Source organism: Homo sapiens, chromosome 9 (assembly GCF_000001405.40).
Source record: "Homo sapiens chromosome 9, GRCh38.p14 Primary Assembly".
In the NCBI taxonomy this organism is placed as follows: Eukaryota; Metazoa; Chordata; class Mammalia; order Primates; family Hominidae; genus Homo; species Homo sapiens.
Window position 1 is genome coordinate 76645077 of NC_000009.12, and position 27940 is coordinate 76673016.

The 27940-nt window shown below is 41.3% G+C and overlaps 1 protein-coding gene and 1 long non-coding RNA gene across 55 annotated transcripts in view, besides 1 other annotated feature; one reads left to right on the plus strand and one right to left on the minus strand.

Annotated features, from left to right (window-relative positions):
* LOC105376095 (uncharacterized) overlaps positions 1-27940 on the plus strand; it is an 84799-nt gene that overhangs the window by 52169 nt on the left and 4690 nt on the right. For 3 of the 13 annotated variants that reach the window (XR_007061586.1, XR_002956900.2, XR_007061594.1), the window contains 3 exons: positions 4877-4954; positions 8609-11689; positions 18559-19463. This is a non-coding gene — a long non-coding RNA (uncharacterized LOC105376095). The other 10 variants (XR_007061589.1, XR_007061591.1, XR_007061592.1 and 7 more) reach the window with 10 other exon arrangements.
* The window catches only part of PRUNE2 (prune homolog 2 with BCH domain), a 294739-nt gene that overhangs the window by 33701 nt on the left and 233098 nt on the right, over positions 1-27940 (minus strand). For all 42 annotated transcript variants that reach the window (NR_131751.2, XM_047422884.1, XM_017014349.2 and 39 more), the window contains 2 exons: positions 10347-10426; positions 7407-7607 (listed from right to left, as the gene is read on the minus strand). Coding sequence is in view for 41 of the 42 variants with exons in the window: in XM_047422884.1 (XP_047278840.1) it covers positions 7407-7607; positions 10347-10426 (281 nt within the window). In the remaining variant the exon portion in view is untranslated. The remainder of the gene's footprint in view (positions 1-7406; positions 7608-10346; positions 10427-27940) is intronic.
* Positions 24687-25300: an enhancer, noted in NCBI's record as "H3K27ac-H3K4me1 hESC enhancer chr9:79284679-79285292 (GRCh37/hg19 assembly coordinates)". NCBI's record gives its function as "activates a minimal SCP1, AML or CMV promoter by ChIP-STARR-seq in primed H9 embryonic stem cells {active_cell/tissue: H9 hESC(primed)}" and the evidence as "EXISTENCE:reporter gene assay evidence [ECO:0000049][PMID:30033119]".

Here is a 27940-nt window from a genome sequence, read left to right on the forward strand (position 1 = left end):
AGAGCTTAGCACTATCCTGACCATATAAAGTACACTCAATGAAGTCTTCTTTTATTAACTGAACAACCACATCCATTGCTAAGGCCATGCTGAGGGGGAGACTAGGTGCAAAACTTAAGCTGTCTTGCATGGGTAGTGGTCCAAGGACCAACTCATCCTTGATCAGGGTAAAGAAAGATTGCAGGTCTTTCTAATGGGGTGAAAGGCTGTGTACTAGACTCAGAAAATCTTGGGGTTTTGGGGCCACATCTCTTCAGTGCTCAGAGTCTTTTGGGGCCCTCAGCTTGGAATCGTGATGATACTACAAGCCAAGACTCCTACTCTAAGACTCTTACAACTGGGCTGAGCCCCCTATTGGGAGCATATCTGGACATAAATTTGATATTACTTTCTATGTACTGTTTCAAAATATGCCACACCAAGACTTTATAGTGAGAAACAAACAACTTTGTAGACCAGAAATGCTCCAAGACCCCAAATGCACAAGACTCCCAAATTGATGGGTGCATAAGACAATAAAAAAGCCTACTGAGCATCCTCTGGGAAGAAATTTACTCTTGTGCATTTAAAAAAAAAAAGTAACCATTTTTATTAAAAAAATAAGCAGCAATTGTTTCCATTTTTACTAGAAGTATTAGTAGAGCTTAATGATGGTTATTCTTTGTATGTTTAAGTAATCTGAAAGAAAAGATTATTTATAACCTTCACAATAATTCCAAGACATTATCATTCTTATTTTTCCATTCCTGGAAAAGCACCATTGAATTTACACTGCATTTCACTTCTTTCTATGGCACTTTGATGATAATAACAGCACTATTGTGTTAAGTATTGACCTTGTACCAGGTACTAGTTGGTATTAAAATGGTCATTATACCATTATATTATTATACCATTGGCATTATATGCAAAAACTGACTCTGAAGTGGTTTGCCTCAGATCACAGTTACTAAACAAATATAGTCAAAACCTTTACCTTTTTCAGCCCTTCTAATCTACCACATTGTACCTTGAATGTGTGATTCTCTTTCTTATTTATTTTACAAAGAGACTGTGAGTCCCCTGGGCTAAGAAACTGTGCCTTGAATAACCTTTAATATTCACTTCCAGCAACCCACTCCCTACTTAGCTTACAAACTTACTCAGAGCACTCAAAAACAATTGGGAAGGTGGGTGAGTAAATTAAGAAAAACTTGGATAGTTTCCTGGAAATGGAGCTAATCTGTAAGGAAGCCACAACACTGCCATTATGTTCTGGAAGAATCTGCAATTATATATTCAGAAGTGTCTAATTACCAGTGACTTAGATAGCAAAATGAAGTTCGGTTGGGAAGCAATCCTAGCCTTTTTTGCCAACACCAACAGCTACCACCACCTACAGAGCCTTGGCTCACTCTGGCTTCCACTGTGTTCCCACCAGCATGCGGCAGCTTATCAAGGACACAGATCATAAACCACTGGCTTCAGGCCAAGCGTCGTGTCCCTTGTGCAAATCCACCCATCTCTTTGGAATCCCTTCCTGCTTCTTCCTTCCTACATGGGTTAGGACCCTAGGATGCTAATCTTATATCCCTTCCTGGAACTCAATTTCCCATCTGGTCTCTACTCCCCCAGAACTCTGGATTCTGAAGCAGGTTTGTATTCTGATGCTCTTGTACACACCCTCCTTTCCCTCTAGTGAACTTTCCATCCACCAGACCCTCTTCATCCTGTTTGGTACCCTCTGACCTGCTCTAGCTTTACCCTGGTCATCTCTGTGGGGTGAACGTAGGGTTGTTTTGTTTTATTTTCTGCAAATTTTATTAAAATTCCCTTATGTAAAAAATTTTTGATTGGGTGTGGTGGCTCAAGCCTGTAATCCCAGCACTCTGAAGGCCAAGGCAGGTGGATCACTTGAGCTCAGGGGTTCAAGACCAGTCCTGGGCAACATGGCGAAACCCAGTCTCTACAAAAAATACAAAAATTAGCTGGATATGTTGGCATGTGCCTGTAGTCCCAGCTACTTGGGAAGATCACGTGAGCCCAGGAGGTTGAGGCTGCAGTGAGCTATGATGGTACCACTGCACTCCTGTCTGGGTGACAGAGTGAGACCTTGTCTCAAAAAACAAAAATTGTATACTACTTTCTTTATTATGGTTATAGTAAAACACATATCACATAAATATAGTCAACTGATCTTAGACAAGGAGCAAAGGCAATACAATAAAGCAAAGATAGTCTTTTCAACATAGTGCTGAAATAACTGGGCATCCACCTGTAAAATAATGAATCTGGACCCAGGCCTTTGATCCTTCACAAAAGTTAATTGAAAATGGATCATAGACCTAAATGTAAAATTCAAAACTGTAAAACTTTTAGAAGAGAAAATGTAACTGGCCTTGGATGCAAAGATGACTTTTTAGATACAACACCAAAGGCATGATCCATGAAAGAAATAATTGATAAGGTGGACTTCATTGAAATTAAAACTACTATATAAAAGACAAAAATCAAGAGAATGAGAATAAGAAGACAAGCCACAGACTGGGAGAAAACATTTGCAAAACACATATCTGATGAGGACTGTTATCCAAAATATACAAAGAATGCTTAATACTCAACAATAAGGCCAGGTGCAGTGGCTCACGCCTGTAATCCCAGCACTTTGGGAGGCTGAGGTGGGTGGATCACGAGGTCAGGAGATCAAGACCATCCTGCCAACATGGTGAAACCCTGTTTCTACTAAAATACAAAACATTAGCTGCGCATGGTGGCATGCATCTGTAATCCCAGCTACTTGGGAGGCTGACACAGGGGAATCGCTTGAACCCAAGAGCTAGAGGTTGCAGTGAACCGAGATTGCGTCACTGCACTCCAGCCTGGCGACAGCACGAGACTGTGTCTCAAAAACAACAACAACAACAACAAAAACTCAACAATAAGAAAATGGGCAAAAGACCTGGACAGGTACCTCACAAAGAAGATATACAGGTGACAGGTAAGCATGTGAAAAGATATTCAATATCATGTGTCATTACAGAATTTCAAATTAAAACAATAGCAAGATACCACTACATACCTATTAGAATGGCCCAAATCCAAAACCCTGACACCAAATGCTGGTGAGAATGCAAAGCGACAGGAACTCGCATTCATTGCTGGTGGGAATGCAAAATGGTCCAGCCACTTTGGAAGAGTTTGGCAGTTTCTTACAAAATTAAGCATACTCTTACCTTACAATCTAGCCATCATACTCCTTGGTAATTACCCAAATGCACTGAAAATGTATGCCCACACAAAAGGCTTCACATGTATGTTTATAGCAGCTTCATTCATAATTGCCAAAACTTGGAAGCAGCCAAGACGTCCTTCAGTAGGTGAATGGAAAATAACCTGTGACTTGTCCAGACAATGGAATATTATTCAGCATTAAAAAGAAATGATCTTTCAAGCCATGAAAGGATATGGAGGAACCTTAATTGCGTAAGTGAAGGAAGCCAGTCTGAAAAAGCTGCATATTGTATGAGTCCAACTACATGGATTCTGGAAGAGGCAAAACTATGGAGACAGTAAAAGCATCAGTGATTGCTAGGGGTTGCGGGAAAGGGAGACATAGGCAGAGCACAGAGAATTAAGGCAGAAAAACGATTCTGTATGATACTACAATGGTGGATAAATGCTGCCACTATACATTTGCTTAAACACATAGAGTGCACAACTTGGAATCGTGATGATACTACAAGCCAAGACTCCTACTCTAAGACTCTTACAACTGGGCTGAGCCCCCTACTGGGAGCACATCTGGACATAAATTTGATATTACTTTCTATGTACTGTTTCAAAATATACCACACAAAGACTTTATAGTAAGTGAGAAACAAACAGCTGAACCCCTCATGTAAACTATGGACCTTGGGTGATAATGATGTGTCAATGCAGGTTCATCAGTTGTAACAACCCAACCACTTGGCAAGGGATGTAGACAGTGAAGGAGGGTGAATGTTTGTAGAGAAACAGGTACAGGAAAACTCTGTACTCTCCGCTCAGATTTGCTGTGAACCTAAAGTTGCTCTAAAGAATAAAGTTCATTAATTTTTAAAAAGCAAAAAGCATTAATGAAAGTACCAGGAATACAGACATGCTTCATGAAAACAATGAGAATGACCAATGCCACTTATCTGTTACTGTGTGATGTGTATTATTCTTCCTCTGCACATACACAGACACGTTTATTTTTCAAAGAGTATGATTATTCTATATATTCTGCATGTTCTATACAGATTGTTCTATAATTTGTTCCTATCATCTATTAAAACAGTACAGGTTTGAGACCAGCCTGGGAAACGTGGCAAAACCTCATCTCTACAAAAAAATATACCAATTAGCTGGGTATGGTGGCACATGCCTGTAGTCCCAGCTACTCAGGAGGCTAAGGTAGGAGGGTCACCTGAGCCTGGGTGGTCGAGGTGGCAGTGGGCTGAGATTACATCAGTGCACTCCAGCCTAGGTGACATAGTGAGGGCCTGTCTTAAAGTATAGATAGATAGATAGATAGATGATAGATAGATAGATAGATAGATAGATAGATAGAATAGGCTTTTTGTCTCAGTAAATATAAATCCTGCTCATTTTTAAGAGTAGCCCTCAAGTATTCCATTTTGCTGATGTCTTATAGTTTACCAATTCCATGGACACAACTATTAAAGAAAATTGCTTGAAAGAGAAGACCAATTGAATATATTTGATAGTGAGCTTCACAAATTTTCCATAAGCAAAATTGCATTGTGAGCAAAAACCCTGGCAGAGGTGTTTGGTCATCAGCTACTGAATAAAACAGGCAAATGGCCTGAAAACCTTTAGGCATTTGGTAGAGTAACGCTTACTTTTTTTTTTTTAGAGTCTCCCGCAAGTCAGGAAAACTGGATAAAAAGAGGCCTAAATGTGAGCAAGAGCTATCATGTTTGGCTTCAAGTATGTAAGTCCAATCTGGTAACAGACCCTTTCCCATTCATTGTTAGCATATTCACTGGGAAGCAGCATGGGCCAGGAACTAAGGGCAACAATGAGCTGTGTGACCTTAGGCAAATTACTTAACTTCTCTGTGCTTCATTGTTCTAGTTATAAAATGAAATAAATTAAATGAAAACTATATAATGAATTATATAATATAATGAGGTATATAATATACAATGAAAACTATATAAATGAAAAATATATAGTACAAATATATAATATATAATGAAACATATATAATGAAAATATATACACGAAAAATATAATATAAATGAAAAAGTATTCATTAAAAGAAAATAAATTATGGCCCAAATGTTTTTGAAAAACTATACCTTAAAAACCCCTATTTTGTTTAGAATGTACATTCCTGGTTCAAAATGGTCGCGTGAGAAACCTAAGAAACAGGCTGCTTTCAAGCATTTATTTCATACTTCAGAACTCAAACATATTTATAATCCAACCCTCTTATACAGTCACTTATCCATGTCCTCATGTTTACAAAATATAGCTATTCAGAGGCACTTTGTGTTTTCAAAGTTTCAACCTCTGACTATATATCTTTCATTTGAAAATTAAGGTAGATTTAAAAATTCAACTTAGTTTACAATTCTGTCCTTTGCATTTAAGACCTAAAACAGGGTTGTGGCCATTAAACTGGTTCTTTCAACACAGCTATGTTAACTACATTAAAAGAGCCATGTCAGCAAGTGGCAGTGTTAATTACCAGCTTGCCCAGCCACCACTGCTTTGCTCGACAGTTTTACTATGTTTAAAAATAAAAGGTTCAGATGTGGTGTGACAAAGCTCTCCTGACAAAAAGGAAGCAAATACGGAGGCAAGAGAGGGGCCAGTTGGGTCATGCCACAGTCTTCTGTGGGATTTTGTCAATATATTAGCAGGAAAGGAGCAGGAGCTGGTAGGGGCAACTGGGATGGATAGAGGAGCTGCTGAAGACTCTCTGGGATGACAGGAAATAGTACAAATTCCAGACCTTCTTTCACCTCCTATTTGTGTATTTCAACCTACAGAATCAACTACCCAGATAACTACAGAAATTCACACATGATAAAAATGCAATATAAAATCTCTACTTACACTAAAGAACTTACTCATGTAACCAAATACCACCTGTACCCCAATAACTTATGGAAAAAAAAAACTCTACTTAAGCATAATAGACTATAAAACAAGTCGTTTAGCCATTTCCTTTTTGAGGAAATAAAGCCTTAAGCTCTGTCAAGGTAGAGTCTGAACTGCACTGCTCATGTCGGCTCAATGACCATTGGTTGAAATAATTAGCTAATTTGGTGAATTTTCTAATTATGCTCTTCTAGGAGTGGAACTGCTAGAATTAGCATGTCTCTAAAAGTCAGGCCACCACTTAATTGTGGCACTGTATTGCTTTTAAGATTGCGTGAATTTTAAAAATGAATAAAAGCAATAGCTGTGTCCCAGACTCTCTCGCTTTCACTTTCAAATATTATAACTTCAGAGAATTCCACCCTGGCTAGAACTGAAACAGAAACTACATAATGCCATTTAAAAAAAAATGATTGTATTTGTACATATTTCTTAAACCAGATTTCATAGAGTAAGAGAAAGAACTAAAGAAAGACTGAAGTTCATATCAGGAGTGTCAGTCTTGGATGATCTGAAAACTTTTAATTATCTTCTTTTTTATCATTTCTCTCACTCCCCCTAAACCATCCCTTCCTTCCTTCCCACTTTATTGGAGACGCAGGATCAAATATAAAGTCCTTGCTCCTGTGGAGCATACATTCGAGTGGTAAGAGAAAGACAATAAAGATGCAAACAAATAGTTAAATAATACAATTTGAATTAGTGATACGTGGAAAATAAAATGAACACTGGGACAGAGAGTGACTAGGTGGTGGGAGTCGGGAAGTGGGAAGCATCTTTGATTACAGAGGTCAAGGAAGACTTCTCTGAGGAGGTGACATCTGATTAACATCTGAATAAAGAGAAGGAGTCAGTCACGTAAGGATCTGGGGAAAAGAACATTGCAGATAGTGGGAACTTATACAAGAAATTGGCAAGCTCTGATTTCTCTTCTTCAAATTTTATCGTCCTGATTAAATTCTCTTCCCCTGCAAACCCAGCCCCAGGTTTCTTGTAACACAGCATGTAACAGTCTTCCCTCAGCCCCAGTGCCTAGCATAAATGCTAGCACAGAGTGGGGGTTAATAAAGAGCAATGGTTATGTATGGCCTCTGTGACCCATACTTTCTCTGTCAGGCTCCAAACTGTCAATCATGGCCACCTATAACCTGAAATAAAAACAGAAGCTTCTAGAAATCACAAAAAGGATCCACTGGCACAAAAATGAGAGGTCTGTTAGAAAATCTTTTACTTATTTAGCATTTAACTTTGGCCTTGCCAACTTAGTGACTTACCATGGCCAGTGTACTCAAAAGAATCTGCTTCATCGGGGGTATCAAGTTCATCCACATTGATGTCAATTTCATCTGGACTGTCCAAGTTATCATCAGAGAGAATAGATCCTTCACTTTGGTCCAGAGAAAGATTGATATTTGGGGCTGTGAGCTTGATTCTCCGAGGATGAGTGTCATTAAGATCCAGAGAATTAGGAGGTTCTAAAGAAGAAAGAGAACAGCAACATCAAGTATTAAACCAGAGGAGCAATCTAAATCAAAAATTTCAAAATCCCAAATGCTCCAAAATCTGAAACTTTTTGAGTGCCAACATGACGTGTCAAGGAAATACTCACTGGAGCATTTTGGATTTCAGAATTTTGAATTTGGGATGTTCAGCCAGTAAGTATAATCCAAATATTCCAAAATCTGAAAAAATCCAAAATCTGAAACACTCTGGTCCAAGCATTTAAGTAAGGGATACTTAACCTATACGTGGCTGCCAAGAGTGGGTTTGGGCCCAGTGGAAAACATTTTTAAAGTCCTTTCAGCAAAAGCAGACCTGATAGAAATCTTTGTATGAGATATAGACACCCTTCTTGAAAGCAGCCCTCTGTAACTGGATCCTCCCAACCCCCTCAGCCTTGGCCATGTAGAAACAGGAAGTAGGAGTTATTACTAAATGGTTAGATAACTAGTTTTTAGAATTTCCCTGTTCAAGTTTGAAAACTTGAAATTGCTATAATAATTGAATTAAATTTTCACGGGGTATACTGCATAAGAAAAATAGTTAAGTTTACATATACAGTTGTCCCTTGATATCCATAAGGGATTGATTCCAGGACCCCTGGTGGAAACTAAAATGTACAGATGCTCAAGTCCCTAATATAAAATGGTGTAGTGTTGACATATAACCCATGCACATCCTTCTGTATACTTCAAATCATCTCTAGAATAATTATAATACCTAATACAAAGTAAATAGTGTTTGCACTGTGTTTAGAAATAATGACCAGGAAAAAAAGTTTGTACATGTTCAGTACAGATGCGATTTTTTTTTCTTTGAATATTTTTCTTCTGTGGTAGGTTGAATCCACGGATTTGGAACCATGGATAGAAAGGGCCAACTATATTTTCTAATCGTTTGTGTTGACTTTGCTCCTATGGAATGTACGTTAAGAACTTTGTCATGTTCACAGACACTCCCAAAATACTTCTTTTAGGTCCTGACAACTCTGTATATGATCTTCAGTGCCCTTTACCTGGCCGAAGTATCCTCCCAGGTAACATTCTTTGAACTCACCCAAGCAGTCACCAGCTCTTATGCCAATCTCGCTTGACATTGGTTCCCATAACATAAGTGACAATCTTATGTGTAGGCTCCCTCCTCTCATTGTAGTATGCATCTTCCCGCTCAGCTGCCTTTCATTTAATAGAAGCAGAGCTGGAGAAGTCATTTTTTAACCAAGCTTAAACTAACAAAACAAAGGTAGAGACATACCCTACTGTAGTATAATAAGAAATGTATTTGGTCTTTGGCCCTGGTTCCAGGCACAGAGGTCTTAAAACCCTTGTCATTTCCTAAGGTGGATAGTGTCAGAATTGAATTATAGGACACCCAGTTGGTGTTCATTAGAAAATTGCTTGGTGTGTGGCAAACAAAACAAAACAAAACCCTACACATCTGGTCACAGAAGTGTTCAGTGTGAGAGCAGAGTAGGAGAAAACAGTTTGTTGCCTTCACCTAAAACCAGAAATGACAGGATTCCTAAGCACGAAATATTTTGAAGACCATTTGGCATACCCTTCAACTCTGGAATTCTGGCTCTGGCCTTGTCCTGGAGAAATTGGCACTGTTCCCCTGTCAGTCATTAAGCTTTTTCTTTTCTGAATGGAACATCACCCAAACTCTGTTCTAGGTAATGGTTTTATGTATTACTTGAAAAAGGTTTCTATTGACAAGTAAGTTTCAACACTGAGTTTCTATATTTCAGGAATTTGCAGAGCAGTGATGTCCCAAAGAATTCTTTGTGATGATGAAAAGGTTCTATATTTGGCTATTGAGCACTTGAAATGAGGCTAGTGCAACTGAAGAAGAGCATTTTAAAAAATTGTTTTTAATTTTAATTAATTTAAATAGCCACATGTGACTAGCTGCTTACCATATCAGATAACCATAGCCTTAGTGCCTTTATCATTCAAAAGTACATTGTGAACTTGGAAGATTCAAATAAACATACTGTGGTTACCAAGCATATTTGGCCATAGAACATTTAGAAATAATTCTGTTACATGACTAGTATTTTGAAGAATGCATTTCAAATACTACGACAGAAAAGAAATGTAATTGCCTTCCTTCTTCCTACCACACTGTAGGCTTGGCTGAGAATACATGATTCAGGATCTTGGTATGATCCTGGAGTTGGTGTAATGCAAGAGAGTGACCCTGGAATACAGTGAGAGTCATATAAGTTGCAATTGAAAAATTAAATTCCTTTTTGTGTATGCCTTGGGTTGTAAACCCCTAAAATGTAGGGTAGTTGTTTTTTATTGTTGTTGTCTTGGTTTTGGTTTTGATAGTTAGGATACTGAGCATTCTTGATATCACATTTCCAATTTTAAACATTCTTACAATTATGTGTAAATGCGGAGAACTTAGACATTAGTCAGAATTTGGTACAATATACAGTAGCCAATTATCACAGGAACTGAAAACATTGGCAGATAAGGCTGTGGTCTAGGAGATAAAATGCAGCCCACACTAGCGAGCATCAGTATTCAAGCCAACTCTTAAATTAACCAAATGCAGCCTAACACCTTCATATCACACATTTCTTTTTTCCTCTCACTGTTATCACTGAAATCATAAGTTAGATGCACAGGAAATAATTCTTTCACTGAATAATGAAAACGTTGGGATACAGAATACCAACGAAGGAAATGAACAAATGCTGCTCTCACCAGGCCTCATGTCTGCAGCACTGGGACTCAGCACGCCCTCTTCAAAGGGGATGTCCATTCCTACATCCTCTGACAGTAGTCTGCAAAAAAAGCAAAGCAAAGCGCGTCAACAACAACTGTGTAAGACTTCATTTCTTTTGAAAAGGAAACCCACAGAGTCCAGGATAACATTTTCAACTCACTTAAAATAAACCATGTATGGGGACTGAATCCACTGTAAGTGGTCCCAAATTAAAGACTTTCTGCAGTTATGGTAAATGAGAAAAATGGACACCAATTTCACTTGCTTACATCAAGTCACTTCTGCTAGCTCACTTAATAAACACACACCAAGTGGGAAACTCAGAAATAGGAAATGCAAACAACTAATAAAATATACTTCGGGGACATTTAATATATATATATTTTTAACAACAGGGTCAATATATGTGCTTTGTACACATCTCTTACTCTGTAAATTTGAGTATTTTAATTAAATTCCCATGGACAGAGGGAGAGCATATTCTGTTGATCTCAGTTTTCATTTGTAAACTAGGGATATACACCTACTTCACCACGTTGTTTAAAGATTAAGCTACAAAAGTAAAGTGCCTAACACTCCTGAGCAGGCATAGACTGATGTTATTTTTCTTCCTTTTTTGAATATTTAAAGAGTCACTGTGAATATATGTTGGTGAAGATGGCTCTGGTCATGACTTCCCACCTCTTGTTTCTAATCAGTGCTGAGCCCACAACCATCTGTATTAGCACATTTGGTAAGAAGTGTAGGGAAACAGGAAATACCAAAGGCAATTGTGACGAATCTATATGTTCTTCTAAGAAGCTGACCACTGTTCACGATAAATTTCTCTTGATTTATTTTCATCCCTGGACCTTTGTTCAGTAAGACCCCATTTACCATAATATATATTTCTTCTCTGTGAGTTTCACGTAATTTCATTCACCTAGGGTGAGTCCTTATGATGTGGGCACTAACCTAATTTTAAACATGATAAACCTTTATGTTAAAGTTCTTAATTTAGTCCCCTTCTGCCTCTCTTACTGTACTTTGCACTATGTAACGCTGGATCTACCAAACCTTTGGAGTTTAATCTGCTTCTCCAGGATGCAAGTCAAATCCCCTACTGTCAATAAAGCACTATGATGAAAGAAAATAATCTGCACCCTTAGCGATTACTGCATTTGCTTCATTTATTCAACAAATATCTATTAAGTGTCTACTATGTGCCGAGGATATAGAGGAACAAAACAGACCCGTCTCATTCTCGTGGTGGAGTTGGGATGATGGAGCTAATACAATGACCCCTACCTTCAAAAACTCAGTGCTGCTCCCCTGGATAGAGGTAAGTGCCTGTGTACTTACCTACCAACTCCTGAGACCCCTTCAAAAGCTCAGCATCAGGGAGTTTCTTTGTCCACATTCTTCCTGTGGCTTTGACCCTGTGTGTTCTCTAAAACTAGACCTGTGCCCTGGTAGCAAAGGGGCATGCAAGAGGTTGGCATGTAAGACAGACAATAATGTATCAGCAGGAACAAGACAACCTGTGCCAAACAGAGATACACTATGATAGGTGGAATCAAACCACGTTATTCAGCAACAAAGATTGGGGAGGTATGCAAAGAGAAGATCTGCACCAGGCCCCAGTTTTGAAAGTCCTAGGACCTAGAGGGACAGATGTCTGGGTATCCCATGATCCTGCAGTTTTTGGAATTCCTTACAATGATCTTTGTCATTTTGTGTGTTCTCCTTGACATCAAACTTCTCGTACCTGTCAAGTAGCAAAATGCTGCTATTAAGAGCCACTGGGTTTAAATCTTAGTTCTACCACTTACTATGTTGGATTGAATTATTGAGCCTGAAATATTCTAAAGGCACATGTACATTATTTTTCTAGTTATCTGCCTAAGAGTCAACCTTGAACAAAAATAAAGATATCAGATTTCTATCTGCCTGACAGAGCACACAGGATGTGGGCCTTGGCATCAAAATAAATATGATGGTTTTAAAATAGATAGGATCAGCTTAAGTTTAATAGATTTTTTTAAACAATTGTGAATTATGGGCAACATCATGGAATAATTGCAGGAGTCCTGCCTGGATATGAGGTTTTAGTTCTGAGTTATAGTTCTGCTGCCAGTATCAACAAGCTGATTAACTCTGAGAAGATTAGTTGGCCATTTCTGTGATTTTAAAAGGGGATAATACCCAACATCACAGTGACTGTGGAGAATAAATACAATCCAAATAAAAGTACTCTGTAAGTCATAAAGCACTGTCTGAGTTTAAGGTATTACATACCCTCCACTTAAAACATAGTACAGGAGCAGTGGTTTAATTAAAGTATGTGTCATGGTTGGACAAATCATAATTAAGGTCACTATAATTTGGGCATTAGTCCAGGTAAAAGATAATCTTATTACTGCACAAATCTCCACAGAGCCTAGAAATGCTCCTCAACTCATTGATGTTAGAAAATAGAGCCTTTGCCTCTAAGTGCTCCTTTTCAACACAAAGCAGAGACCCTATGAAGAAGGCACAGATTTCTTCCCCCTGTGTTAGCATGCACCGGGGGAAGAAAAATGCTGAAGGCTGTGATCAGCGGATGACCCAAGGAGAGAGATTCACACAAACCCATGGATATTAAAGAAGGCTAGGCCGGGCGCAGTGGCTCACGCCTATAATCCCAGCACTTTGGGAGGCTGAGGCGGGTGGGTCACCTGATATTGGGAGTTCAAGAACACCCTGACCAAGATGGAGAAACCCCATCTCTACTAAAAATACAAAATTAGCTGGGTGTGGTGGCGCATGCCTGTAATCCCAGCTACTCGGGAGGCTGAGGCAGGAGAATTGCTTAAACCTGGGAGGCAGAGGTTGTGGTGAGCTGAGATGGTGCCATTGCACTCCAGCCTGGGCAAAAAGAGCAAAACTCCGTCCCACTCCCCCCCAAAAAGAAGGCTATAGGGACATGTTAGAAAACCCCTGGGACAGAGGGAAAGCTGAGCCAGAATAGCCTAGAAGCAAATCTAAGAGAAACCCAAGTCACGCTCTTTGTAAATACTTCAACCACATTCATACATTAAGCCCATAAACATTTGCAGAAATGAAGTGGCCAAACAGCAGTTGTTGACTAAGCAGGACAGCAGTTTTGTGATCAGTAACTGAAGCCTCTCAAGATCTGTTAGGTAACAAACCAGTCCAGTGTAAAGGTCTGTATTTTACTTTATCTATCTGTAGCCTCTACTTAATTTTGAGTTTCTTTATACAGAATGGAGCTAACCAAGAGGTTGAGGGAGTTGTAAACACAAGTCAGGCTGTACTATGGCTGAAACAGCTACATGTCTCCATCTAGAGGATGTATTAAAACTGCTTCATGGTTTCTTTGCTGGATGGTACTGTGACATTAACACCATGTGTGTTAGAAGATCAATGTATTATGACATATTGATCTTCACCAAGTATTTCTGGCTCTCTGCCTTTTGAGTGCATGGTAGTATTGCACTTTCCTGTCCCCTTTGAAGTTAGGGTAGCCACATGACTTGCTTTGGCTAATGAAGAAAGAGTGGAAGGGAGAGATGTCGCTTCTGAGCAGAAGGCTTAGGAGCAAGCGTGTGAGGAGCCACATCCTCTTCCCACATAGGTGGCTGTGGAGGGGCTCGGCCAGGCTGTGTCCCGAGTGCCTCTGATGAGCAGAGGCCTCGATGAAAGCTTGCTGGAAATGTAAACAAGAAATGAACTTTTGTTGTGTTTTGCCCTGAGATATTGTAGTTATTTGTTACCACATTACGATCTAGCCCATTCTTACTATATAGCTGGCCTTTATTGTTTCAAAGGGAATATTTGACTTATGCTATGCTCAAAAATTTATTTCCTGATTTGGGTAACCAATTTTCCACATTCTTAGCCCAGATTCATATTGACAGTAAATATCTTTACGTCTGGATTGCTAAAGCATCAAAGCATATAGGAACAAAAAGCTTGAAAAGACACTGAATGCTTTTAAATATTCTATAAGACTGAGTATTAATATATCACCTTTAGGGTTTTTGTCATAGCCTTTAATCACTTGCCAATTTACTTAACATTTTCTTTAGATTGACTTATTTTATTAAGGTTATTTTGAGAGGAATGTTTGTATCACTAGTGTACAGGTTGAGTATCCCTTATCCAAAATGCTTGGGACCAGAAGTATTTAAACCTTCCGACTTTTTTGGATTTTGGAATATTTGCATTATATACTACAAGTTGAGAATCCCTACTCTGACGATCTGAAATCTGAAATGCTCCAATGAGCATTTCCTCTGAGTGTTGTGTCAGCACTGAAGAACATGAATTTTGGAGCATTTTAGATTTCAGACTAGGGATACTCAACCATTATATGTAAACTTAAATCACTCACGTAAAATAAATGGTGAGTGATTTAAGTTACATAAAATAAATAACATATATAGAAAAAATTAAATATAATAAAAATAAAATAATACTATTAAATTTAAGTTAGAAACCCCTGGAATCTCACTCAGAGGTTTTTCCTCTTTGCTAAAAGAGAGATGTTAGGAAGTGTTGGCTAAGTCTGACAAGGTGTAAAGCCATGTATCATTAAAAATACAAGAAATGCTATATGAAATAGCATACTCCAAAAGTTACTAATACATTTCCAAGCTTAAAAAAATAAGATTAAGTCCACAGGTGCCAGAAATAAAGAGTTATTATAGAAGGCTGATAAAAACCTAGCACACAGGGTTCTTGCACTGGACACAGGACTTAGGGTCTCACAGCATAAGGGACCTCCTGGTGATGGAAGAAAGGCCTAGACCTGAACTTCTATATAGGGCTCTGGACCTTCAGGAACTTTCCCCTTAACAAAAAGGGGATGGAAAAAAACTCTCTCCTCTGGCCTTGGAGGTTTTGGGTAGAAAATAAAAAGCAACCAGTAGGAGCTGGAGACACTAGCTGTGGGCCGCTCATGTCTCAATTTATATTACCTGAATGATGTAGAAATGAATCAAGAAATTAAGATGAAAATTCATCTAGGATCACTGAACACCTAGGACCCTAGGGTTCCAAAAGAATCAGATGTGGGCCAGGCACGGTGGCTCACGCCTGTAATCCCAACACTTTGGGAGGCCGAGGCAGGTGGATCATGAGGTCAGGAGTTCAAGACCAGCCTGGCCAAGATGGTGAAACCCCATCTCTACTAAAAATACAAAAATTAGCCGGGTGTGGTGGTGCACACCTGTAATCCCAGCTACTTGGGAGGCTGAGGCAGAAGAATCACCTGAACCCGGGAGGCGGAAGTTGCAGAGAGCCGAGATTACATCACTGAACTCCAGCCTGGGCAACAGAGCAAGACTCTGAATCAAAAAAAAAAAAAAAAAAAAGAAAGAAAGAAAGAATCAGATGTGAAACCACTTGGTAGTGCTTACTTCTACAAGCAAGTTTCACTGGAAATCCAATTAGGTGCAAGAAAAAACTCTCTGAAAGATGAGCTCATATAAAAAAACCCTATAAACTACACTTGGGAAAAATACTTTGAGGCATTTCCAGGAGATGCAATAAATAGAAAAATTAGCAATAAAAGTAATAAAATAAAAGAATAGCATGAAAGAGGCCATAATGATTAAAGAATAATATCTAAACCTTTGTTGTGTTAAACCACTGAGATTTGGGGTTGTCATAGCAGGTAATGTCACCAAGACCTCAGTAGCCATTCTGCTTAAAAAAGAAACATCTAAAACATAATAATGCAGAAGTGTTGACAAGAAAGTGGTATTTTTAAAAAACAGAGAAATACTAAACACAAGAAAGCATTACAATATTATTATTATTTATCATTATTGTTAGTATTTTTTGGTACAGTCGTCCAGGCTGGAGTACAGTGGTGCAATCTTGGCTCACTGAAGTCTCCACCTCCTGGGTTTAAGCGATTCTCCTGCCTCAGCCTCCCAAGTAGCTAGGATTACAGGCACCTGCCACCATGCCCAGCTAAGTTTTGTATTTTTAATAGAGATGGGGTTTCACCATGTTGGCCAGCCTGGTCTCAAACTCCTGACCTCAGGTGATCTGCCTGCCTCAGCCTCCCAAAGTGCTGGGATTACAGGCATGAGCCACTGCACCTGGCCAGCATTACAGTATTAATGCCCAGCAAAACAGACTTCAGAAAAGGCATTATTAAGGCTAAAGAAAGTTATTATTTAGTGATACAAGGAATAATTCTTCAGAAGATGTAATAATTGAGAGCCAATGTGTTCTTAACAACATAGCCTCAAAATATGTAAAACAAAAATTGAAAATACATTATAAGGCAAAATAAATTTCATGGGGTAAAATCTGAGTATACCTCTCAAGAATTTATAAATTAATTTGAAAAGAAATATATAAGAATATGGCAGATCTGAACAATGCAGTAATATAGCTTGATCTAATGGAGAGATCTGCAGTCAATAAAAACACAGTTTTTTTTTTTTGAACTCACCAAAACTTACCATACGTGATGTCTCATAAAATACCAAAAGTCAACATCACATGTACTATATTCTCTGACTTCGGGGCCATACCTCTAGTTATCAATCACAAAAAGTCTCCAATCACAGTTTGGAGACTAAAAAACACACGTGTAAGTAACCAAACAATAAAGCCCTGCACATCCAAACTTGTGAAAGCAGCTAAAGAAGTTCCTAGAGGAAAATAAATAGCCTTAAGTTCAGATTTTAGGAAATAAGATGAACTGAATTAGCTAAGCATTCAACTCAGCCCAGGAAGTTATAAAAAGAAACATGCTCTTAGGTGACTTGATGCTATTTATGCTAAATCTTTGCACCTTCTCTAATGATCCTGAATACCACCAAATGGAGAAAGAACGGTGATAGAAATGGAAGTCTCCAATTTGAGAATGAAGCCCACGTATATTCGTAGATTGTGTGTTTCTGATACTTACATTTCTTCATATGGAAGGCTAATTGCAGTATGTGACAGAGAATGAAGGACAACAAATGCAGAACTTTTGGACATAAATGCACCTTCTTGCCTTTAGAACAGGTACAAAATTAAGCCCATTCTGCATTTTGTATTTTTTCAACGTATCTGAATCTGGAGGGATTTGACTGTTGTTGTAGGATTAGCTTTGCCTGAGATTAGGTTCTTTTTAACAGGAAATGAGCAGTGAGCCAAGAGCTGGCACACACATACCAGTAGCATTTCTAGATGGTAATGTTTCCTGACAGACACGGATATCCAGCAGCAGGTGGCACCCCTTTTCAGGAATAACCACTTTTACAAGATTGGCCACTGAAATATATACCTCCATAAAAAGTAAAGTAGCAGGTCATGACATGGGGTCCATTGTTCTTTAGAAAAATACTGACGGTTATGCTGATATATTTTGGGAAAATGATTACATAAAGAGAAATATCTCTTGTGTTAAGAGTTCCTTAATACTCTCCTGGCTTCTTTCTAGTCTATTAAGATCTGCTGGACTGATAAGGTTGCTGTCTCTAGAAACAGAGATAAAAAGAAAAAAGAAAACACAAACAAAACCTTTCATGAGGTGCTTGCCTTCCCTCGTTAAGAATATCAATTAGCCTATGGGCTGGAGGACTGCCATTTGAGGGTTCTTGTCTGATAAAGTAGGCTGCTCCATTTAAGCCAGCAGTACATGGCACCCTGTGAACCACAGAGTACTTATCAAATTACTCAAAGTAGGAGGTGAGACTGAAGCAGCACTGAGCTTCACACTTTGCCTAATCAAGCTAATCCCAAGACAGGAAATGCTACAATAGGAAGCTGGGGTCAAGCCCATGAAATAACGCTCTTTAGCAACAGTTCGCTAACCCAGCTGGGCCTCTCTCATCCTAGAACAGGTAAGCACTGTGGCCAGGCAGGGAGAAGCATCTTAGAAGCCAGCCAGCTGAAGAGAGATGAAGGAGGGAGGTGAGAGCTGGAAACTGACTGCACACAGTAGGAAGATAAGCGCCGAGCACTCGCCCAGACACCTTCTTTAGGGAATGTGCAAAACTGCAGAAACCACAGCTAAACATTCTCAGGTTCTCAGAGGTGGGGGACACGACGCAGCCTCCTTACCCAGGGTCAGATTCTAAAATTCTGCAGGGAGCAAAAAAATCACTTGTAGCTCAATGATCCTCAAACATTTTCTTGAATTGTTCCCTGAATAGAGTGTACATGGTTTTGCATGTCAATTTTTTTTTCTTTTTACAGTGAGGCTTAAACATGAAAATTTGAGGAACGCTGAGCAGGAATAGAAGGAAAGCCTACATTTTTATCATTTCAACCTCTTTGCTTTTCAGAGAATAATTAACTCCTTGGCTGTGAATGATGGATGCATGGAGAATTCTACCTCTTGCCTGCAGGCTATTTGCTAGCTTCTTTTAATATTTTTCCTATAACCTTAAGATCTATGAATAGATTTGTTTGTTGTGGAGAAGATTAAATTAGATGGCATAATCTCACATTGGAGAGGGGCATATACTTATTTAGGAAGTGAGTTTACAGTTCACAACCAGGATGGCTCAAAGGGATCTCAAACTGAACATGTTCAAAACCTAATCCCACATCTTCCTCTACGCAGATCCGCTACATCCTACCTTCTCTGTGACGACTTTGAAAAGTGTCCATGAATTCTTTGACACTCTTTTCAAAAGGTGGAGCCTAATTTCCCGTCCCTTAAGTGTGGACTGATGATTTGCTTCTAAAGAACAGAATAAGGTGGAATGGATGGTAGGTGACTTCTAAGGCTAGGTCCTAAAAAGCACTGTGTGCTTTGTTCTCTCTTGGGTCTCTCAGTCTGGGAGAAACCAGCTACCCTGTTGTAAGGACAGTCAAGCAGCCCTGTGGAGAGTCCATGTGGCAAGGAACTGAGGCTTCCTGTGAAAATCCAGGAAGGAACTGAAGCCTTCTGCCAACAGCCATGTGAACGAGCCATCTTGGAGGCAGATCCTGCAGCCTGGCTAATGTCTTGATGGCAACTTAACAAGATACCTTAAGCCAGAACCATCTAGCTAATACACTCTTGAATTCCTATTACAAACACTGGGAAATAATCAATGTTTGTTGTTTTAAGCTGCTAAACTTTGATATTATTTATTTTATTCATTTATTTTTTGAGACAGGGTCTTGCTGTATTGCCCAGGCTGGAGCGCAATGGAGCGATCTCGGCTCACTCCAGTCTCCATCTCCTGCGTTCAAGTGATTCTCCTGCCTCAGCCTCCCGAGTAGCTGGGATTACAGACGTGCACCACCATGCCGAGCTAATTTTTAGGAGAGATGGGGTTTCACCATGTTGGTCAGGCTGGTCTCCAACTCCCAGGCTCAAGTGATCCTCCCACTTCGGCCTCCCAAAGTGCTGGGATTACAGGCATGAGCCATTGCACCTGGCCGAGATTATTTATTATACAGCAATAGCTAACTAATACATTCCTCATCCTAGTGAATGTCTCTACATATCACCTGGGCACTCAAGCTCCCAAACTGGCATTCACTCTTACTTTCTTTTCTTTCCCACCATTTCTTCCTCATCCAGTTGGCCATCCAATCCTATAAATTTATGTCATCCTCTCCACTCCATTCTCACTACAAAAGCCTTAGTTCAAGTTCATTTTTTTCATGCAGAAACATCACCACCTTTCTGTTTACGATCGTCATCCCTACCTCCTCCAAATTATAACTAATATCCTTCTTCATCTTAACCTTGACACCACCTTCTTGTGTTTAAATCCTTTCAATTCACCACTTCAGGGAAAGAATTTGGCTTCAGAGAAGGGCTCACAAGGCCCTCTTGACCTGGCCCCTAAGCCCAGACTCAAGCCTCCTTTCTCATTCCCCACTCCCCACTTAGCCTTGCCAATCTTGCTGTCCTGTACTACTCAGTGTGGACATCTCCATCCTGGAACCTCGCCTCCATCCCACAGAATCGGGATCTGGGACCTCACCTCCACCCCACAGAGTAAGGTCCTGGGACCTCACCTCCATCCCACAGAGTGGGGACCTGGGACCTCACCTCCTCCCCACAGAGTCGGGTCATGTCCCATAGCACCCTGTGCTTACCTCACGTGGATGCTGCCATGTTCCTATGATTTCCTGTTTGAAATGTGTCTGCCCCCACTCCTCCCCACTGCCACCCTCTCCACACACACATGAATCTCCTGGGGGACAAGCACACCCAGTGCTTAGCACAGGGCTCAGCACATGGTGGAGATGAATGAGTCACTATTGAACAACACAGATTTAGACACGTGAAGGTGCCCTGCCCTTTGGGTAAAGTGCTCCTCAGAATGTCTCACCACATAGTGAAACTTGACCATAAAAATTATCTTCCAGGCCAGGCGTGGTGGCTCACACCTGTAATCCCTGCACTTTGGGAGGCTGAGGTGGGCAGATCACCTGAGGTCAGGAGTTCGAGATCTGTGGGCGGCAAGCCACCTAGGTGCCAAGGCAAAAGACTGAGGGCACGAGCTGTTTCAGTATAATAAAATATATAAAACAACAAGAATTATACTAGATCTAGATCATAGACATGATTATATATGAATATCATTAATCATTAGTTCGTAGCAATTACTCTTTATTCCAATATTATAAGAATCTTCACTCTATAATCATAACCTAGGAAAAACCAGGCCATACAGTGATAGGAGCTGAGGGGACATAGTGAGAAGTGACCAGAAGACAAGAGTGTGAGCCTTCTGTTATGCCCGGACAGGGCCACCAGAGGGCTCCTTGGTCTAGCGGTAATGCCAGGGCCTTGGAAGACACCCGTTGCCAAGCGGACCGTGGTCTAGCGGTAGTGTCAGTGCCAAGGGAAAACACCCGCTACTTAGCAGACCTGGAAAGGGAGTCTCTCTTTCCCCGGGGAAGTTTAGAGAAGACTCTACTCCTCCACCTCTTGTGGAGGGCCTGACATCAGTCAGGCTTGCCCGCAGTTATCCGGAGGCCTAACCATCTCCCTGTGATGCTGTGCTTCATTGGCCACGCTCCTAGTCCGCTTTCATGTTCCATCCTGTACACCAGGCTCTGCCTTTTAGATAGCAGTAGCAAAATTAGTGAAAGTACTAAAAGTCTCTGATATGCAGAAATAATGGCGTAAGCTGTCCTCTCTCTCTCCCTCTCTCTCTGCCTTGGCTGCCAGGCAGGGAAGGGCCCCCTGTCCAGTGGACACGTGACTCATGTGACCTTGTCAATCATTGGAGATGACTCACACTCCTTATCCTGCCCCTTTTGCCTTGTATCCAATAAATAACAGTGCAGCCTTGCATTCAGGGCCACTACCAGTCTCCGCGTCTTGGTGGTAGTGGTCCCCCGGGCCCAGCTGTCTTTTCTTTTATCTCTTTGTCTTGTGTCTTTATTTCTGCAATCTCTCGTCTCCGCACACAGGGAGAAAAACCCACTGACCCTGTGGGGCTGGACCCTACAGAGATCAGCCTGACCAACATGGAGAAACCCTGTCTCTATTAAAAATACAAAATTAGCCGGCTGTGGTGGTGCATGCCTGTAATCCCGGGTACTTGGGAGGCTGAGAAAGGAGAATCACTTGAACCCAGGAAGCAGAGGTTGGGGTGAGCCAAGATCGCATCATTACACTCCAGCCTGGGCAACAAGAGCGAAACTCTGTCACAAAAAAAAAGAAAATTCTCTTCCAACAAATTCCTTTTGATAAGAAGTTTAGCTTTTGTCAAAACATAATTTAGAAATATAGGTGATGCTTATGGGAGTGTTTTACAAAGAAGTCATCACTGTGAACCCAATTAGGCAACGGTCACTCTCTGGTGTGGCACATATTGTGCTCTCTCCTCCAACAGTAAAAGCTCTTTGATAATATTAGGAGCAACTGGGAGTGAATTTGAAAGAATGAGGTTCTTCCGAAGGGAAGGGGGAAAAGTAGACCATTGTTTTTCTTCAGAATTGGAGACAATCTTCAATGCCAGGGATGCCAGCATCTGCAGGACGCCCAAGTGAGCAGCAGAACTGGCTGGGCTGGCAGCATAGGCTCCTGCCATCTGCAGCCCCCATTTCACCTGCTCAGCATCTCCTGGGATTTACACTTTGGGAAGACTGCCTGCCTGCCCCACCCTCCTGCCCATAAGATAAGCTCACAAAGGGTCCCCTTCCCCACAGTGCAATGCAAAGCTGCACTCTTGCAGTCTGACTTCCTGCCCCAAGTAGTTCAAGAGTGTGAAGTCATCCAAATGCCTTGGACAAGCTGGCACCAGAAATATGAACCACAGGAACACACATAGATAAGATATTCCTTCAACTGCTGCTCAGCAGTTATATTTGCTAATCTGCAGGACATGGGAGGGTTGCCTTTGACTTTTCTGGAGGTGGAATCAGCACAGTGTTTCTGGAAGGGCTAGATACTGAATATGTTGGGCTTTACATGCTCTACAGTTTCTGTGGCAACAACTGAGCTCTGTTGTCCTAGCACAAACGTAGCTATAGACAATATGTAAATGCATAGGTATGGCTGTGTTCCAATAAAACTTTATGGACAAAAATAGGTGGCTGACTGGATTGGGCTTGGTGGGTAGCGTAGGGGGAGGTTTGACAACCGCTGTCCTAGAGTCTAACAACTTAAATAACATTTCATTTTCTTAAAGTTGAATATATATTTAAAACTGTGAAGCTCTCATATTGGTGCAAGTGGTACACCCAAATGTGTTTCTATAAGGAATATAAATTGAGGTACAGTTTTTGGTTGTAGTCATCAAAATTTTAAATACACATAGCCTTTGACCAGCTGTTCTAAGAATATATAGTGCAGAATACTCACAGGTATATACCAAGATATATGTAAAAAGATGTTTACTGTAAAAATACAAAAACAAAACTGGAGGGTTTTCAAAAACAGTCTGAATTTGATGATCATGCAAACACGAAATAATTAAAAATTTCTCAGATCTCTGATTTTCCCAACTGTGCTATGCTGAATCTTCCTTCCCTACATCATGCTATCTTGTTACTTTCAATTACTAAAATCTAATCTAGTTTAAAACATCCAGTTTCTCATCTAAAAATTCTATCTCCTTCACTCTCCTACCTGGGCCAACCAAAGCTGTGCTTCAGGGAATTTGGGATAGGAAGGGTTCTCCCATTCCTCCTCTTACCCCAGGATTCTGATCTGTGAAAAGGGCCTGGGTGGGAGGGTGAGGTGGAAGCTGGAGAGAGGCCTGGATCATTCTCTCACTCCTCTTCCCAGCCTGAACTCTGGGAGCCCCTCCCTCTGTTGGAAACTTGTAGGAGTTCCTTGAGGGCCTGTGGGGCCTCCCCACTGTACACTTCACTGATACAGGAGGACCGGCTTCATTCCACATCTTCCTTTTGTCCTCAGCTCCTGGCACTGCCTCTGGCTGGGGACTTCTCACCTTGGGAGGCATCGTCGTTTGGAGGGCTTCCATAGCAAAGTATCGCACACAGTAACTTCACCAACAGAAATTTACTCGCTCACAATTCTGGAGGTTGGAAGTCTGAGATCAAGATGTCATCAGGGTTGGTTTCTTCTGAGGCCTCTCTCCTGGACTTGAAGATGGCCATCTTCTCTCTCTGTTTTCACAGTCATCCCTCTGTGTGTGTGCATGTCCTAATCTCTTTTCCTCATAAAGACACCAATCCTACTGGATTAGGGCCTACCCTAATGAATTCATTTTAAAGAAACCATCTCCAAATAGAAGATAGGACTTCAACATATATGGATTTGGAGAGACACAATTCAGTGCATAACAGGTGGGATATTACAAAATGACTCAAATCTACTACTGTCCATGGGGTCACTGCACCCACAGAACACCTATACCACCTTGTCCCTCCACACAGTGATCACACTGTGTACAAGATCACACACAGTACAAGGTCACACCACCACCACCCTCTCAAGAATGTTCTTTTCTTTTCCTTTTTCTTTTTTTTTTGAGATGAAGTTTCACTCTTGTCACCCAGGCTGGAGTGCAGTGGCGTGATCTCGGCTCACTGCAACCTCCGCCTCCTGGGTTCAAGTGATTCTCCTGCCTCAGCCTCCTGAGTAGCTGGGATCACAGCTGCGGGCCACCACACCCAGCTAATTTTTGTATTTTTAGTAGAGACAAGTTTTCACCATGTTGCCCAGGCTAGTCTTGAACTCCTGACCTCAGGTGATCCACCCACGTTAGCCTCCCAAAGTGCTGGGGTTACAGGCATGAGCCGCCATGCCCAGCCTCGAATGTTGTTTTCATTGGCTCAGGCAGGATCAGGGCAGACCCACAGTCCAGTCTAAGCTGACTTCCAACTGGGCGTGAGATGCCAGTCTTCCTTGTGGAAGGAATTCCAACTCTTTACCCAGGACTCTTCTGGGGCAACCCTCACTTGGCTTTGGAGGAGCAGAAAGGGATGCACCCCAGTACTCCTAACAAGGCAATGACTTCATAATTCCCTCACTCCTCCCGAGTCTTCTGCTCACATGGAATGGGTTGAGTTGGGTAAATCTGAGTCACCTTTTAAGAAGCCTTCAGGGAAGCATCTACCCCAACTGCCAAGAGCTTCTTGCCCTCTCTCTCTTTGGGATAAAGAGTACTTTGCACCACTTTGCCCTCAGCCTTGGACCCTAGTTGTTCATTCAGTGACTTAACAAAATCTTCGGGGAGGAGCCAAGATGGCCGAATAGGAACAGCTCCAGTCTACAGCTCCCAGCGTGAGCGACGCAGAAGATGGGTGATTTCTGCATTTCCATCTGAGGTACTGGGTTCATCTCACTAGGGAGTGCCAGACAGTGGGCACAGGTCAGTGGGTGCGCGCACCGTGCGCGAGCCGAAGCAGGGCGAGGCATTGCCTCCCTTGGGAAGCGCGAGGGGTCAGGGAGTTCCCTTTCTGAGTCAAAGAAAGGGGTGACGGACGGCACCTGGAAAATCGGGTCACTCCCACCCAAATACTGCGCTTTTCCAAAGGGCTTAAAAAACGGCACACCACGAGATTATATCCCGCACCTGGCTCGGAGGGTCCTACACCCACGGAGTCTCGCTGATTGCTAGCACAGCAGTCTGAGATCAAACTGCAAGGCGGCAGTGAGGCTGGGGGAGGGGCGCCCACCATTGCCCAGGCTTGATTAGGTAAACAAAGCAGCCAGGAAGCTCGAACTGGGTGGAGCCCACCACAGCTCAAGGAGGCCTGCCTGCCTCTGTAGGCTCCACCTCTGGGGGCAGGACACAGACAAACAAAAAGAAAGCAGTAACCTCTGCAGACTTAAATGTCCCTGTCTGACAGCTTTGAAGAGAGCAGTGGTTCTCCCAGCACGCAGCTGGAGATCTGAGAACAGGCAGACTGCCTCCTCAAGTGGGTCCCTGACCCCTGACCCCCGAGCAGCCTAACTGGGAGGCACCCCCCAGCAGGGGCACACTGACACCTCACACGGCAGGGTACTCCAACAGACCTGCAGCTGAGGGTCCTCTCTGTTAGAAGGAAAACTAACAAACAGAAAGGACATCCACACCAAAAACCCATCTGTACATCACCATCATCAAAGACCAAAAGTAGATAAAAACCACAAAGATGGGGAAAAAACAGAACAGAAAAACTGGAAACTCTAAAAAGCAGAGCGCCTCTCCTCCTCCAAAGGAACACAGCTCCTCACCTGCAACGGAATAAAGCTGGATGGAGAATGACTTTGACGAGCTGAGAGAAGAAGGCTTCAGACAATCAAATTACTCTGAGCTACAGGAGGACATCCAAACCAAAGGCAAAGAAGTTGAAAACTTTGAAAAAAATTTAGAAGAATGTATAACTGGAATAACCAATACAGAGAAGTGCTTAAAGGAGCTGATGGAGCTGAAAACCAAGGCTCGAGAACTACGTGAAGAATGCAGAAGCCTCAGGAGCCGATGCGATCAACTGGAAGAAAGGGTATCAGCGATGGAAGATGAAATGAATGAAATGAAGCGAGAAGGGAAGTCTAGAGAAAAAAGAATAAAAAGAAATGAGCAAAGCCTCCAAGAAATATGGGACTATGTGAAAAGACCAAATCTACGTCTGATTGGTGTACCTGAAAGTGATGGGGAGAATGGAACCAAGTTGGAAAACACTCTGCAGGATATTATCCAGGAGAATGTCCCCAATCTAGCAAGGCAGGCCAATGTTCAGATTCAGGAAATACAGAGAACGCCACAAAGATACTCCTCAAGAAGAGCAACTCCAAGACACATAATTGTCAGATTCACCAAAGTTGAAATGAAGGAAAAATGTTAAGGGAAGCCAGAGAGAAAGGTCGGGTTACCATCAAAGGGAAGCCCATCAGACTAACAGCGGATCTCTCGGCAGAAACCCTACAAGCCAGAAGAGAGTGGGGGCCAATATTCAACATTCTTAAAGAAAAGAATTTTCAACCCAGAATTTCATATCCAGCCAAACTAAGCTTCATAAGTGAAGGAGAAATAAAATACTTTACAGACAAGCAAATGCTGAGAGATTTTGTCACCACCAGGCCTGCCTTACAAGAGCTCCTGAAGGAAGCACTAAACATGGAAAGGAACAACCAGTAGCAGCCACTGTAAAATCATGCCAAAATGTAAAGACCATCGAGACTAGGAAGAAACTGCATCAACTAACGAGCAAAATAACCAGCTAACATCATAATGACAGGATCAAATTCACACATAACAATATTAACTTTAAATGTCAATGGACTAAATGCTCCAATTAAAAGACACAGACTGGCGAATTGGATAAAGAGTCAAGACCCATCAGTGTGCTGTATTCAGGAAACCCATCTCACGTGCACAGACACACATAGGCTCAAAATAAAAGGATGGAGGAAGATCTACCAAGCAAATGGAAAACAAAAAAAGGCAGGGGTTGCAATCCTAGTCTCTGATAAAACAGACTTTAAACCAACAAAGATCAAAAGAGACAAAGAAGGCCATTACATAATGGTAAAGGGATCAATTCAACAAGAAGAGCTAACTATCCTAAATATATATGCACCCAATACAGGAGCACCAAGATTCATAAAGCAAGTCCTGAGTGACCTACAAAGAGACTTAGACTCCCACACATTAATAATGGGAGACTTTAACAACCCACTGTCAACATTAGACAGATCAACGAGACAGAAAGTCAACAAGGATACCCAGGAATTGAACTCAGCTCTGCACCAAGCAGACCTAATAGACATCTACAGAACTCTCCACCCCAAATCAACAGAATATACATTTTTTTCAGCACCACACCACACCTATTCCAAAATTGACCACATACTGGGAAGTAAAGCTCTCCTCAGCAAATGTTAAAGAACAGAAATTATAACAAACTATCTCTCAGACCACAGTGCAATCAAACTAGAACTCAGGATTAAGAATCTCACTCAAAACCGCTCAACTACATGGAAACTGAACAACCTGCTCCTGAATGACTACTGGGTACATAACGAAATGAAGGCAGAAATAAAGATGTTCTTTGAAACCAATGAGAACAAAGACACAACATACCAGAATCTCTGGGACGCATTCAAAGCAGTGTGTAGAGGGAAATTTATAGCACTAAATGCCCACAAGAGAAAGCAGGAAAGATCCAAAATTGACACCCTAACATCACAATTAAAAGAACTAGAAAAGCAAGAGCAAACACA